Here is a 15,294-nt window from a genome sequence, read left to right on the forward strand (position 1 = left end):
AGGCTGAAGTCTCCCCGCTGGAGCTTCCCTCCTCTAAGTAGCCCTTTTCTTGGTGAGACCTGGGAGACTGCCACATTCAGCTACAGACCCTGAGAACCCCCGAGAACAGAAGATTCAGATAGGATCATGCTGAACCCCATTTGATCTCCATGTAGAGCCTACAGGAACCTTCTGGGGGCCCTTTTTGGCCCTCCTACTTCTTGCCCCACCTCTGGGGGCATCTAAGGCCTATTCTGTTTGATTTGGTTTGGCTTTTCCACCACTGCTCTTGTCCTAGAGTTTAGACAGAAAGGTCTGGTTTGGGGTAAAGTGGCAAACTTCAGGAAGAATCCAGCCACGGTGGGAGGGACCCTCAGCCCTTCCCCTTCAAAGGATGGCAAACATCAGAATGAGCTTCAAGTGAGATTTTTCAGAAACAGAAAATGTCAGAGTGAAAATAGAAGTGTTGCCAGTCTCGCCTCCTGCCTCCGCTCAGTAGAGCCTGTGCTCATGCCGAGATGGGTGATGGCAGGGTGGAGGAAGAGGTTGGGCCCTTGACCTAGTTGGGTTCCCTTCAAGATGCCCCAGCAAGGACACAAGGTTGGGGCTGGGCTGGGCAAGAGGAAGAGTGAGGTGATGGCAGGATCTCCAGGTAGGATGTCAGCCTCAACTCAAGCGAAGTCACACGTACTGGCCACAGGCCTGTGTTCTCCATCCTGTCCAGGCTAGCAGATTTGGACAACCCAATAGAAAACTGTAATAGGGTATGATTAAGGGAAGGGGAGCTGGAATGGGCATAAAGCTTGGCTCAGTGGCACAAGAAACAGAAAATATCTTACAGTTTTTTATTCAACATTAAGTGCAAAATGAGTCAACAGGATTACGCAGCTACTAAAAAGCCAGTGTGACCTTAGGTTGCATTCACAGAAGTATGGGGTTCTAAAAAGGGAGGGAGGGGATTGTCTCCTCTTGCTCCTATAGGAATCAACCCGGCAGATTATATCCGGGTCTGACCTCTGTCACTTTATCGCCAAAGAGAGATTGGGCCTCCATAACCTGTCAGTCAGTCAAATGCCAGCACATGAGGATATGTGCTCACACTCATATGGATCCTGAAGAATGTTCAACTGTCCTCTCTCTTTTTCTCCTCTCTCCACTTCTTCTTGGAGGCTCTCCTGCAGTTCCTCAGTTACTCAGCCACCACTGGTTCCACTGCTGGCTGTGGGAGACAGAAGCTCCAGGTTCTGGGGAGGAGGGGAAGGGAGGGATCAAAGGTTTCCTGGTGTGACCCAGCCTCAGGAAGAAACACCAATCTAAAGCCAGTGGGTCTTACTCGCAGAGTCAGCCTCCTGCTAGTCTTCCTGTCTTCTGACTGAACGAGTATTTGCCGCCTTTTCTGCCTTTAGCTGTTTTGTTCTAGCTTCAGGATGTTCCAGGCCCCAGGAAGCGGACGGAGGTCAGGAGAAGACCAAACCCACCCCAGCTTGGAGCTCTTCAGATAAGGGTGCCTGGCGGGCAAGGGCTGTGAACCCTGTTCAGTGGAGATGGAAGGGCTGAGGCAACTGAGAGACCAGCTGGCAAATGGGGAGGCCGGGGTACGATGGCCATCTGCAGGCAGCTGCAGGTCTGTTGGGAGCATCTGGCTGTGTGGACTTAACCTGACTCTGTGGTAGGAGAGACAAGAGGAGGATTGTGGTCAGTAGAAGGAAGAATTTTCGAAGGGTCTGAGCTAATCCAAGAAGAGGCTTCCCAGGAAATACCCTGTCATGGGAGGCGTTCAAGGGACAGAGTGGCTGGTCTTTGGTGGGAACAAAAGTGAGGAGAGGTGATGCTGAACTTGACTTTGTCTCACTTCTAACAGATTCATTAAGCTGTTCTCTCACACTGAGACCTTGGGCAAGTCATCCTGCCTGTTCCTGCCCATTTCCCAAGCAGCACTATGAGGGGTCACCTCCGCTTCCAAGATTGTGGACCATCCTGGCCCAGAGTCAGCCCTGATGGCTCTTCCTGGAGGATTTGCTGGGGTCTGCTCTGGAGGTTTGGAACTCAACCCAGGGGCCCAAGCAGGCACGTATGAGTGAATGTGTATGTGTGAACACACATAGGCACATGGGTGCATGTATGCGTGGGGGTGTGTGTGCATGCAGGGGTGCGTGTGTGTGTTAATGCCTATAGACATATGGGTGCATGTATGCATGGGTGTGTGTGTGCATGCAGGGGTGCATGTGTGTGAATACACATAGGCTTATGGGTGCATGTATGCATGGGTGTGTGCGTGCATGCATGTGCGCATATGTGGGTGCCTGCGTGTATGCACAGGGGCATTGGGGGAGATAAAAGCACAAACTCAGACTACCTGGGGGTGGCACAGCTCTGTGTCTTGGGACAGGTCACTTTACCTCTCTGTGCCTCAAAAGCCACCTGCAAAATGGACGTACCAATAACACCTGCCCCATACAGGTATCTGAGGCTGAGTGAAGGAATGCTTGGAAAGTGCTGAGGACAGTGCCTGGCACCTGGGAGGTGCTTGATCAGTCTGAGCTACCATTATAGTTATAACAGTGTCCAATCTGCCTCCCTCAAATATTTAACTCCTCACCTGCTGCTCCCTGGATCACCAGGAGAACCCTGGGGGCCAGGCTGAGGTCCTACTTCACCAAGGGGAGGCTTAGGGACACGGAGTGACTCAGCTGGGGAAGGTCTGTGCCATTCGCAGAGCCGAAGGGACTGGAAGCAAACTAGTTCCTTCCAGGCTGAGATGGGCATCTCAGGTGGGTGGGCCACCTCAAGGGAGTCTGCCGGGGGCTGTGGGGATACTGGGAGGAGGAATAACTCATAGTACTATGGGGGGCAGGAAGTGTGAGCACAGGGGCTCTCCACAGGCCGCTGGGACCCCCACCTTACCCAGAGGCTTTGCTGACTTTGGCCAAACCAGGGCTTTGGGAACAACATCTGCCTCAGCATCCTCCTTAACTCACTTCAGCTGGCCCCAGACCCTGGTCAAATGGAACTGCCTTCTGCCTTTTCCACATGCTCCACCATTTTCTTCTTCTGGAACTTTGCTGAAGCTTTTCCCTTCACCTGAAATGCCAAATCCTACACACGCTGCTGGCCCAGCCATACTGACGTCGGGCAGGCCACTTAACCTTAAGATAACATCTTAAGTTAAGGTGTTATCTCTGTGCCTCTCTCTCTCCTCATCTGTAACATGGGAGAGTTGGACTTGCTGATCTTTAAGCTCCTTTCCAAGGCCTAATTTAAATCCCCTCCCCACCACCCCCAGATGAAAATAGTCACCCTGTCCTCTAAAACCCCAAAGTTTCTTGAAGGTGAGTGGTTCTGAGTTGGATTCATTTCTGTTTCCCTCTGGTGGGTGATGGATGAACAGGTGGACAGAATGAAATGAGCAGCCCTCGGGAAGCATTTGTGTTCTATTTATTTATTATTTATTTTTGAGATGGAGTCTAGCTCTATTGCCCAGGCTGGAGTGCAATGGTGCAATCTCAGCTCACTGCAACCTCCACCACCTGGGTTCAAGTGATTCTCCTGCCTCAGCCTCCCAAGTAGCTGGGACTACAGGTGCACACCACCATGCCTAGCTAATTTTTGTACTTTTAGTAGAGACGGGTTTCACCATGTTAGCCAGTATGGTCTCGAACTCCTGACCTCAGGTGATCTGCCTGCCTTGGCCTCCCAAAGTGCTGGGATTACAGATGTGAGCCACTGTGCCCAGCTGGTATTTGTGTTTTAAAACAGACCCCTGGAGTCCAGGAGAAGACACTTCCCCCATCAAAGAATGAAGTGCTGATGGCTGAACTACAGCATCCTTGGGCAGAGGGTGAGATACTAGGGCAGGGAAGAAAGAGAGGTTCCAAAGTCAAACAACCACCTAGACAGGGTCCTCCTCAGCTCTGCCCATTTCCTGGGGGCCCCAGGGACACCCTCCCCAAGGCTACTCCTCCTCTGCCCCCATCCCAGCTCAGCACTCTCCCAGGCCCACTGCCACTTCACCCTCCAGCAAAGCTCCTCTGACCTGACATCACTTGCAAGCCCCCTGCAATTGAGGCAGCTGAGTAATCTGTACACAGTTATACAGCCCAGGACTTCCAGTGCCCACTCTAGGGCTCCCTCCACAGCCATCATCACCCCTCCGGGCCCTCCAGGCCAGCGTGTCTCTGTCATCACCAACCATCTGTTGATTTGGAGGTGAGGGTGTCCAAGCTAGACAAGGGTGAGATCAACCCTCCCCTCACCTCCAACCTTCCCCAAAATCCTCCACCTTTCCCAGCACTCCCTGGGATTTCGATCTGGGACCCCAGAGGGAGAGGTTTGCTGTGACTTTGCTGTTTCAATTCTCCCCTACCCTGCATCTGCAGCACACTTTCCCCAAGCAAAACCACTAAATCACTTTTATAGGATTTGAGGTTCTTTCTACCCAGCAAGTTTCCTGCCAATATGAAATGTCTTCCAGGATCTAGGGAAGACGGGTTGGCTGGAATGGCTGTTCATTAGAGGAAGATTAATGGAGCCACTGATCCAATTAATGTGTTATTGACCCTTCCCTTAATATAACCGGCCAAACAGCTCAACCTCAGGCTCTAGGCAGTTTACTCAGAGCTCAGGTCCCGTTTGTGGGGAGAGCAGGCTCAGTAAGCTCCACCCCACCCACAGTACCCGGGGGTAACAGAGAAGCCTCTCTCCCATCAAGGAGGGGTGAGAGCCTCACCTCCAATCCCATAAGCAAGCAGTATGCCAGCTCACATGGATTGAGAGCTTCCTATGTGCCAGGCACCGTGCCAAACACTCTGTAGGCACAATTTCAATAATCCCATTAGTCCCATTTTACAGAGAGGAAAACTGAGGTTTAGAAAAGTTAACCTGCACAAGATAACCCAGGAAGCTGTAAATGTAGTACTCAAACCCAACAACTAATAATAATAACAGCAAACATGTACATCATGCCTACTAAACGCCTTGCATTGCTCTAGATCACTGTTAAGCAATGGAAATAGAATACAGGCCACATACGCACTGTAATCTGAAATTTTCCAGTAGCCACATTAAAAAAAGCAAAAAGAACCAGGTGAAGTTCATCTTAACAATATATTTCATTTAACCAAATATGCCCAAAATATTATCATTTCAACATGTTACCCATATAAAAATTATTGGAGAGATGCATTCCTATTTTTCTCATACTAAGTTTTCAAAAGCTGGTGGGTATTTTAGTCTCATGGTCCAACTCAATTTGGACAAGCCACAGTTCAAGTGCCCAAGAGCCAGAGGGGCCAAGTGGTTGCCCTATTCTACTGTGCAGGTCTAGATGCTTTGTGTATATCCATTCATTTCTTCTTGGTTAGTTCTACCAGGTGACTGTTTTTATCATCATCCCCCTTTAACAGATGAAATGCCTGAGAATCAGAGAGGTGAAGGGACTGGCGTAAGGTCACACAGCAGGTGACTGGGATTCGAACCCCGGCAGGCAGACTGTGGAGCCTGTGACCTCACCCCAGTGCTGCACTACCTGATCCTACCAAGCAAGCGAGGCAGCCGCCCTCACACTGGAAACTGTGAGGCTCCAGGAGGGTCTCCAGCTCCCAAAACAGCCCTCTGCTCTAGGATACATGGCCCTGACAGGTCTTTAAGACACAAAGGCAAAAGCTGCTGTCCCCAAAAAGCCTCAGAGACAGTCCCCAGGGTGAGTTTTTCCTCCCTCCGTGGAATTAGAAGGACAATAACTGCCACCACGTACTGGGGGCTTATGATGTGCAAAGCCAGTGCCAGGCTTTTCACATTTGTTATTTCATGGACTCTCCATGACAATCCTGTGAGGGGGGTTGGTTTTCCCTGTCATAGCCTCAGAAAGGTTAAGTAACTTATGCAATGTCACACAGCCAGTCAGTGGCAGGGCCAGGAGTAGAACCCATGGCTGCGAGACTCTAAAGCCCACACTCTGTCCTTGAATAGCTAAGCAGACCCCAACACTGATTCAAGATCACTGCTTCCCAGAACCCAGCCCCACTGTCCAAAGCTATAACCCCAGCTCTTCACCTGGACAGTGACTTTGTGCAATTTCCAGCACCTCCTGCAGACACCTTGCTCATCTCCATCACCTCCTGCACTGTCCCTGGTCCCACCCATGGCTGACAGTGGGTCCTCGCCATCTGTCCCGTCTCTGCCTGCATGGCCCTGCCTCCTCTCCATCTGTGTCTCTGTTCCCTCATACCTCAAATGTTCCAATTTGTTCACCACCTAAAGTCCCACTGTTACCCCCTTGGGTTAAGAAATCCCCTTTCTTACATAAAGCACAACAAATACCCCTGAAAGAAGCTATAAATCAAGGACTCCTCTGTGAGAATTCCTTTGACCGAACTCTGTCCCTCCCAGAGGCCCACTTGTAGGAACTGGAAGCTTAATATAAAAGGAAACAAGGAATTAACTTCAATCAGAGCTGGATGGGCCCATAGAGATCGTCCAGTCCATCCCCCTCATTTCACATACAGGGAAACTGAGACACAGAGGAGTGGATGACCCGAGATACACACTCAGGACTGTGGCTCCTACAACAGTGCCCCTCGCCCTGTTAGAGCTGGTGAAACGTTCACTAGCAAGAGTGGTACCTGCCCTGCACTCAGAACCTTGCTCCAGGGAGAGGCCCCAGTGCTCAAAAGTCTTGGCAAAGAATGTGCACTCAGCTTCAGCAGGTGGGCAGGAAGGAGAAGCGTGGAGCCCTCTGAGGGCAGATGAAATGAAAACCAGGAAGGCAGCTGACCCTGCCCTGCTTCCCATCCAGGTCTGAAGGGCTCCCCTAGCCAGGCTCACCCCTCACCCCATTATGCAGCAGAGGGTGTAGATGTGGCACCCACAGAAAAGCAGCAGTCTTTACCTCCCAGCAAGCCTGAGATGCGGGGGGGATGGCCACCCCCATTTTAGAGATAAAGTGACTGAGGCTCAGAAAGATGAATGGCCTGGCCAAGGCCACACAGCCGGGGTGTTGCCAAACCCAAAGCCTGGGTTCCTGCCCCTGCCCCAGATGAAGGACTAAGGACTCCCAGCCCAGGGCTTCCTCCACAACCCCATGCTGCCCTGAAAATCCCTACTCTATCTCTGACGTCAACTCTTTTATTGATACCAGCAGCCGCCTTTGCCCTCGCTGAGCCGAGCCGGGCAGCACAGCCAGCCCACTCCACATAATTTGGTGCCAATTAGGAATGAGTGGGAACCATCAGTGCATTCAATTCAAAGCCTAGAAACAGGCTCTGCAAAGCCAAGCCTTAACTAGCTGGGATGTCCCCCCCCAAACTATCCCAGCCACCCCTTTTCCTTATCTCAGAATCCCTTGCCACTGCCAGGAGCCCTCCACCACCCATGTGCAGAGTCCTTCCTGAGGATCCAGGAGATCCTGGTGGGAATGAGTCACTGCCCCTGCCCTCGAGGGGCTCCCAGGAACAAGCTTGGCAATGGAGCACTGAGGTAGCTCCCAAAGCCCTTGCGGCCAAAGCCTCAGTTTCCCCATTGGTAGAAGGGAGATAAGAATGATGAACACTTTATAGGATGGTGCTTTATAGCACTGGATCCACCAACCCTTCTGATCTCCTGCTCAGTGCCAGCCATGACTCTGGATACTGGGGACACAGGAAAACCATGTCGTGCCCTCAAAGTGCTCATTCTGATGGGAGAGATGGACAACAGACAAGCCTTATATATAAAAAATAACATTTTAGATACTATGAAAATAAGCAGCGTAAGCACTAGAGAGGGACCGGAAGGGTGGACAATAAATGGTAGTCATTGTATTCATTCCTATTACATTATTTGCTCATCTGGGGCTTGATCACTGAGTGGGAGTTCATTAGGCAGACAAGCTGGAAGGAAGCAAATTCCAGGTGGAGGACACAGCACAAGCAAAGAGAAGGAGGCTGGAAGGGACCTGATGAGTCCCTGCAACTGGTGGTTCAGAGGGGCTGGGGTGGGCGTGGGACATATAGGAGCCCCATGAGGCTGGTGAGGCAGGGATTCCAGCCACGAAGGGCTCTGGACATGATCCTCAGGAACTGAACCTTCTCTTTGGGGCCTGAGGGGCCATGAAAGGGATTTCCACGGGGAGTAAAATGCCACACTGGCACTTCTGTGTGTCCATTCTCGTTGCTGCAATGTGCACTGGGGTGGGAGGGAGACTGCCAACAGGCAGACCCATGGGGATGCCGAGGCCCTGACCGGGGCGGCCATGGGCAGGGAGGGAGGGAGACAGCAACAAGAGGTGTTCGGGAGGCAGATGAGACAGGGCTTGGTGACTGATAGGAAGTGGGAGGCAAGTGATAGCTTGGGGACTATGAATAGCGGTGTCTTCTGGCACACTGTGGGGTGCAGCCCCCAACACAGGCAACCCAGTCCCCTCATGGAAAGTGGGTTGCGATGCCATTAGGACACACCTGTTTTCCTGTGGTGCAGGGCAGTTGCGCCGCAGCAAGTCTCCAGCCAGCCGTGGCTGCTGGGACTCCAAGCTCTGTGCACAGCACCCCCTCTGCCAAGAGTGCCCTTTTGGGACTGGCCGCAGTTCAAATAGTGACTCCCCTGGGAAATCTTCCCCAACTTCCTTGCAGAATTAGTCACCCCTTTCCCTGGCTTGTGCCAGCATCTGATTCACAAATGTGTTAGTCCTTCACCCACAACAGGGTCCTTGTCCCTTTCTTGGCTTGTCTCCCAAATAGTCTACAAACTGCCCAAGGCCAGGAGTCCCCATCCCTTGTTATCCTGGTGCCTGGTGCAGTGCCTGACACTCGGAGGCCACTCAGTGTGTGTTTGCAGAATGCATGGGTGAAGGAGTGTGAGTCCGCTCACCAAGACATGAACTCCAAGAGGAGAAGATGATGTGTCCGTCTGGGCTCTGCTGGGTTTAGAAATCCTGAGACTCATCCACATGAATGCGCCAGGGAGCTGTGCATAAGGATCAAAGCTCAGGGAGGTGGTCTGCCAGGGGGTCTGGCCCTCCCTGCCCCTGCCCAGCTCATCCCTATCCCAGCTCTGGAGGCCTCCTTGCCAGCATTGCCCATGGGCTGCTCTGGAGAGAAGGAGCAGGAGAGCTCCGGAATTTGACACTGTCCATTTCTCCCCTTGGGGAAGCTCTTCTCAGGGGGAATTTGGGATTCAATTTTCATAAGTAAATAAGCTTTGGGGTTAATCACACCTCCATTTGCATAGGGAGGGATGGGGAGTGAATCCTTCCTTCCTCCTGGCTCATCCTCCCCAGAAAAAACGAGAGTGGATCCATTACCAGCAGCCCACCCTCCACCACTCCTGGGGGAAAAAGAAATGACATTTTCCTTTTACATTGGAAATACTTAAAAGTCCCAAGAATAGATTTATAGGAATATTTTAACCTTTCCTTTGATCCTTGAAATGTCATTGTTCTGTGGGCTGAATCGCCAAATGTGACCTTTTCCAGTAACCACAGGGCGGGGAGCCCCTGCTGGCTCTTTGAAAGGAGCTTCGTATGTTCTCCCTGCAGCTTCCCTGATACCCCACCCCCACTCCTGAAGCTCTGAGTCAGTGGAAGGATTGGTGAGGGGAGCAGCAAGCAGGGGCTAGCTGGGGAGGGCCAAGCAGCTCCTACCTTACTTACCAAATAAGGATGAGCTAAATGTGGGTCCATCACTAGTTAACTCGCTCTGTGGCCTGGGGTTAAGCACATCCTCTCTTTGGGCCTGAGTTGCCTGTGAAATGGGAAAAATCATGGCGCCCTACTTCAGAGAGCTGTTACAAGGACTAAATGAGACAATGCATGTTGTATCCATCAGTGATTGCTAAACAAGGCTGAAAAACCAACAACCCCCGAAATCAGTGCCTGACAATACCAAGTCTTTATTCTCAAACTCACAGGTCTGCAGGATGACTAAGGTTCAGTGATCCAGCCCAAGTTCAGCTGGGTGGCTTGTGCATGTGGGTTGGACTCAGACGGGGCCCACACTGAAGGGTCCTGCTCTTCTCATGGTGGAGCCACTGGAATGCAAGGGGGACAAGCAAGAACAAGCACTGCCTCTTCTGGACTCAGCTGGGAACAGGACCATTGTCACTTCCACCCACCTCCTATTGGCCAAACCAAGTCACGTGACTGAGCCCAACATAATAAGGTGGGGAAAAGGCACTGCCTCCAAGGAGAGGGGAGTGCGTATTTGCTAAACAATAATCTAATCTATCACAGCATGTAAAGCCCCTGGCACTATGCCTGGCAAGTGATAGAAACACAGAATATTAATTCCCTTTCATACCACATTGCATCATTACTATATTCCACAGCTCAGATTAATTACTTAGAATTCATTATAATAGCATGAGCCCTTTTGGCTAAGAATACATACCTTATTGTCCAGAATATGTGGGCAGTGATGTATTACACATGAGTGAATTCTTCAGATAACAGAAACTTAAACACCTTAAAGCTTTTTTATTTTAATTATGTTGATGGAAATGTTTCTAGAGGATATTTCACATCTTCCCACCTTCTTAAACAGAGACTATCAAATGCTATTTAATCCATAATATTGATGCATTGGGACCACTGCTATGAGCATCTGCCACAGCTCTCTGTCGATCTCTAGGGCCATTGAGACGTCTGGCCTGTTTGTCCCTGCACTGAGTGACCCCGTAGGGACAGTTCTTCTCCTCGTGTCCTCAACAGTAGCCACTAGATATCAGCCCTCCACAGGTCAGTTTCTCATCATCAGAAATGAAGGATAGGAGATTCAGGCTAAATCCAACACACTTCCTGAGTCGTTTTGGCTCTTACTGAAATCTTTGCTGATGGCAGCACCAGGGAAGACTCTGTTTTGATAGACTGCTACCATAGTTCTAATCAGGGTGGAGTTTCTGGAGCCTTAAGCATAATGAACAGTTGAAGAATTTCAAAAGGTGGTTCATCTACTCACTACATTCTAAAGGAAGGCAATAAGAGGGAATCCTGACAAACAGCTTGGGGCCCATGTGAATGTCAGGGTGACGGACAGAATGTAATAATACTCTAGAACTGATGGACTCTCCTTCCATACCTTTATTCCAGGCTCTCATCCCACTTCTTTCTCTCTGTCTTTCAACTTCTCTCCATCTGTGTGCTTCCATCTCTCCTCTCTGGGGCCCTATCTGTTCTTTTTCATCCTCTGATTCTCATCCTGTATCCTTCCTTCTTCTCCTCCTTCTCCTACAGGCTATAGTGTGGAGAGGAGAAGTTTTGAATGATCATTACTCAAGCTTACTCCAAAACAATTATTTCATTCTTCAAGTATTATGCTTCTTGTATTAGTCCATTTTCACACTGCTGATAAAGACATACCCGAGGCAGGGTAATTTATACAGGAAAAAGAGTTTGTTAGACTTACAGTTCCAGTGGCTGGAAAGACCTCATAATCATGGCAGCAGGCAAAGAGTTTGTGCAGTGAAACTCCCGTGTGTGTGTGTGTGTGTGTGTGTGTGTGTGTGTGTTTTGTTTTGTTTTGTTTTGTTTTGTTGAGATGGAGTCTCGCTCTGTCACCCAGGCTGGAGTGCAGTGGCACGATCTCGGCTCACTGCAACCTCTGCCTCCTGGGTCCAAGCAATTCTCCTGCCTCAGCCTCCTGAGGAGCTGGGATTACAGGCATGCGCCACCACATCTGGCTAATTTTTGTACTTTTAGTAGAGACAGGGTTTCACCATATTTGCCAGGCTTGTCTCGAACTCCTGACCTCAAGTGATCCACCCTCCTCTGCCTCCCATAGTGCTGGGATTATAGTCGTGAGCCACCACGCCAGGCCAAAAACTCCCGTTTTTAAAACCATCGGATGTTGTGAGACTCATTCACTATCATGAGAAGAGCACAGAAAAGACCCGCCCCCATAATTCAATCACCTCCCACCAGGTTTCGCCTATGATACATGGGAATTGTGGGGGTTACAATTCAAGATGAGATTTCGGTGGGGACACAGCCAAACCTTATCACTTCTCTTTATCTTAAGTTCCTAAAAATCCAAATGGCAACAAAATGCCACAAAATTAAGTCATACCTTGCTTCTGTGAACACCTCTGATTTTTCCCCCAGAAAGTCAGTGATTGTCCATCAGAGAACCCCTTGGAGGCCAGGCTTCTGATTATAAAGTTCTCCAGATCTCTGATTGCTATGGACGGGTAACGGCCCACCTCGGAACTGTCCTGAGTGCTGAAATGGTGCCTGGTTGCAGCTGACATTCCTGTTCCTTCACTTAAGTGCTCTGCCGGAGCACTAGGTACATTAGTGTTTCCCTGCGTGGATGTTCCTAGCCATTTCTATGTGGAATGCCTGATCCAAGATTCCCACAGCCTCCTTGTTATGCCAGTGATAGATGCCCGTCTGCTCAGCTGGCCAGGATTTGGGGAGAAGTGTTTAGGCCAAGAACATATCATAACACTTTTCTGTAAAAATGACCTTTAGGCTATGACAGCTAACCCTTTTGTGCTAGGCCCCAGATTGATCACACCAGAAGGCTGATTCCTGGTGGTGAACTCACCCCTCTGGGACCTGGCTTCAAGCCAAGATAGCTAGGTTCTAGCCTATGCTCACCACTTGCTAGTCACGGGGAATTGGGCAGCTAATTCTCCCTTTGGGGGCCTCAATCTTCCCATCTATGCAATGAGGCACTGGGAAATACAATCTCTAAGATTCCAACCAACTAGGACATTCTGAGATTTTACATGTATGTGGCCCAGGAGGAGATTGAGTGGAATGAAGGAGAAAGAGCCCGCAGCAAGGAGTCAGGAGTCCTAGTTCCCAGTTCTGCCATTAAAGCTGTGTCATTCTAGGTCAGCCCCTTAGCCTCCCTAAGTCTCAATCTCCTTATCTATAAGACTGGAAGGATATCACTGTCCTTCCCATTTCCTGATGTCATGGAGAGGCTCAGGTGAGATGGGGAAGCACTTGGTAAGGTACAGATAACTATATGGTACTGGGGAATGGTTTCTTACAACAAGAGAGCATCAAAAAATTATTCCCAGCCAGGCTCGGTGGCTCATGCCAGTAATCCCAGCACTTTAGGAGGCCAAGGCGGGTGGATCACTTGAGGTGAGGAGATCGAGACCAGCCTGGCCAACATGGTGGAACCCCATCTCCACTAAAAATACAAAAATTAGCTGGGCATGGTGGCAGATGACTGTAATCCTAGCTACTTGGGAGGCTGAGGCAGGAGAATCACTTGAACCTCAGAGGCAGAGGTTGCAGTGAGCCAAGATCACACGGCTGCACTCCAGCCTGGGCAACAGAGTGAGACTCAAAAAAAAAAATCAGTCCCTTCAGAGGGAACATGAGTTCAGCACCCTGTTGATCAAACAGTACCCACAGTTTAGTACCCTGTGGATCAAAGGACATAGTCTCTTTCCTATCTTCCTCCACTATTTCCCAGTGTGATGGAATCAATGAGCCAGGGTGATATCAGTCTCTACTGAGGACAAAATACCCCAAATGCCAGGTCTATTCCTTTATTCAGTAGGCAATTACTGACAGCCTTCTATTCTTGCTCTCACAAATCTTCTAATCTAGAAGAGGAGAGAGACAATAAGTTCCTAAATACCTAGGTGATACACCTTTCAAAAGTACTCACTGCTGGGAAGAAGACAAAGTGGAGGAGGAGGATGGAGAGGAACCGGGGGGGTTGTCGGTATGGGAAACCCTTAGCTCAATGCTGGGCACATGGTAACTGCCCAGTAACACAACCTGATAGGCAGGATTCTGGAGGATGCCTTGGTTGTTGAGGCAGCACACAGGAGAAGGACTTGGAGACCAAGCTGTGATAGCAGAGATAATTAGGAGTGAACCAGGAAAAGGCTGGAGGGAGAGTATTCCAGACAATGAGCCAATGGCTGGGCAGGTGGCAGCTTGGTGCTAAGCTCTGGGAAGACTGCACTGGCACAGGGGGATAAATGGGAGAGGAAAAAAACTTTGGGACAGAGAGGCCAATTAGGAAGAGGAGGCCACTGGAAGAGAGGTGACCATGCCTGAGGCAGTGACCATGGAGACAGGGAAGAGTGAGAATGTGGATGTTAACAATGAGATCAAATCTGTAAGACTTAGAGATTCCGTGAGCCATAAGAGGGAATGTGTGGGCTGAAGGCAGCAGTAGGGCGATGGAAAGCCTGGCCAAGGGCTTCTAGAACTTGAAGCTCACCATTTTTGGATGACATTCTGTGAACGAAGTGTTCTCTATGAGATACTAAGAGCAATATAGGGTAATCACTGGTGACAGAAACATCTGCTCATGCAGGTTCATGTCAAAGTCCAGGGTTGAAGGAGAACCCCTCATCCCAGGTAATTCTTGCCCCTCTGCCATCCCAGCACCTGTGAACTAGAATCTGGAGCCCAGCTGTGTGCAGCTCCCACACCAAAAAGAGGCACAGACTCCAGAGCAGGAATTTCCCACTGATGGGGCAGAGGAGGGGTAGGATAACTTCCTGCTGCCACCTTCCTCCTATTTCTGCTGGACTAGGGTCTGTCACTTTGGAATGAATGGTTCTGGTACAAGAGACCAGAAAAAGGAGTGTGTGAGAGATTGCCTTTTCCCCAAATAGCCATACAAAGAAATATCCCATCCCTCATGTTTTTCTTGCAATATGATATTGGCTTCCATCAGGATGTGGGTCTACACTCCTTCCCTTTGAACTTTGAGTGACCTTTATAACTTTCTCAATCAATAGGTGTGGCAGAATTGATGCCCTATAACTTCTGAGTGTAGGTCATAAAAGGCAATGTGGCTCCCCCAGCTCTCTCCCTCTGTCAAGATGCTTTTCCTTGGAATCCAGCTGCCATGTTGTGAGAAAGCCCAGGGCACCGCAGAGACCACATGTGGGTGTTCCAGCCAACAGCCCCAGCTAGGTCCCCATGGAGAGCCCACACCAACCACCAGATATGAGGGTTCAGACTCCAGCCCACAGTCTTCAAGTCTTCCAGCTGCAGTCCCAGACATCATGAAACCATTCTGCTGTGACCTGTCAGAATTTCTGACCCCAGAAACTGTTGGAGATAATAAATAATTACTGTTGTTTTAATCCTCTAAATTTTGGGGTGATTTGTTATGCAGCAATCGATAACTAATACAAAGGATCACTAAGGTGACCCAGTGTGCTGGGGGGGAGGTTAACCCAGGCCTTACACAGGGAAGGGCTTAGCCTCATATTATTATCATCTCTTTCTGGCTTCATCATCACTGTCACCACCTCCACCTCCACCACTACTTACAGAGCACCTACCTAGGCCAGGTTCTTGGCATTCAATTTCTATAACCTTTATACCAATCAAGTAGGTATGCTTCTCCAATTTTATAG

General features: G+C 49.9%; 3 long non-coding RNA genes across 4 annotated transcripts; 1 reads left to right on the plus strand and 2 right to left on the minus strand.

Annotated features, from left to right (window-relative positions):
- Positions 1-894: 894 nt before the first annotated feature.
- On the minus strand, positions 895-9,686 carry LOC105376655 (uncharacterized). The gene is made up of 3 exons (XR_931246.1): positions 9,602-9,686; positions 8,821-8,916; positions 895-1,643 (listed from the first exon to the last, which is right to left on the minus strand). It is a non-coding gene; the product is annotated as an uncharacterized LOC105376655 (long non-coding RNA).
- Positions 9,687-9,891: 205 nt separating this feature from the next.
- LOC105376656 (uncharacterized) lies at positions 9,892-13,968 on the minus strand. Its single transcript, XR_931247.2, has 3 exons — positions 13,691-13,968; positions 11,025-11,180; positions 9,892-9,978 (listed from the first exon to the last, which is right to left on the minus strand). It is a non-coding gene; the product is annotated as an uncharacterized LOC105376656 (long non-coding RNA).
- A 71-nt stretch (positions 13,969-14,039) lies between these two features.
- Positions 14,040-15,027, plus strand: LOC124902665 (uncharacterized). Of its 2 annotated transcripts, none has more exons than XR_007062660.1 (2): positions 14,040-14,281; positions 14,668-15,027. It is a non-coding gene; the product is annotated as an uncharacterized LOC124902665 (long non-coding RNA). The 2 variants fall into 2 exon arrangements; XR_007062661.1 differs by having other exon boundaries at positions 14,046-14,281; positions 14,734-15,027.
- Positions 15,028-15,294: the final 267 nt, after the last annotated feature.

Source organism: Homo sapiens, chromosome 11 (assembly GCF_000001405.40).
Source record: "Homo sapiens chromosome 11, GRCh38.p14 Primary Assembly".
NCBI classification, from domain to species: domain Eukaryota; kingdom Metazoa; phylum Chordata; class Mammalia; order Primates; family Hominidae; genus Homo; species Homo sapiens.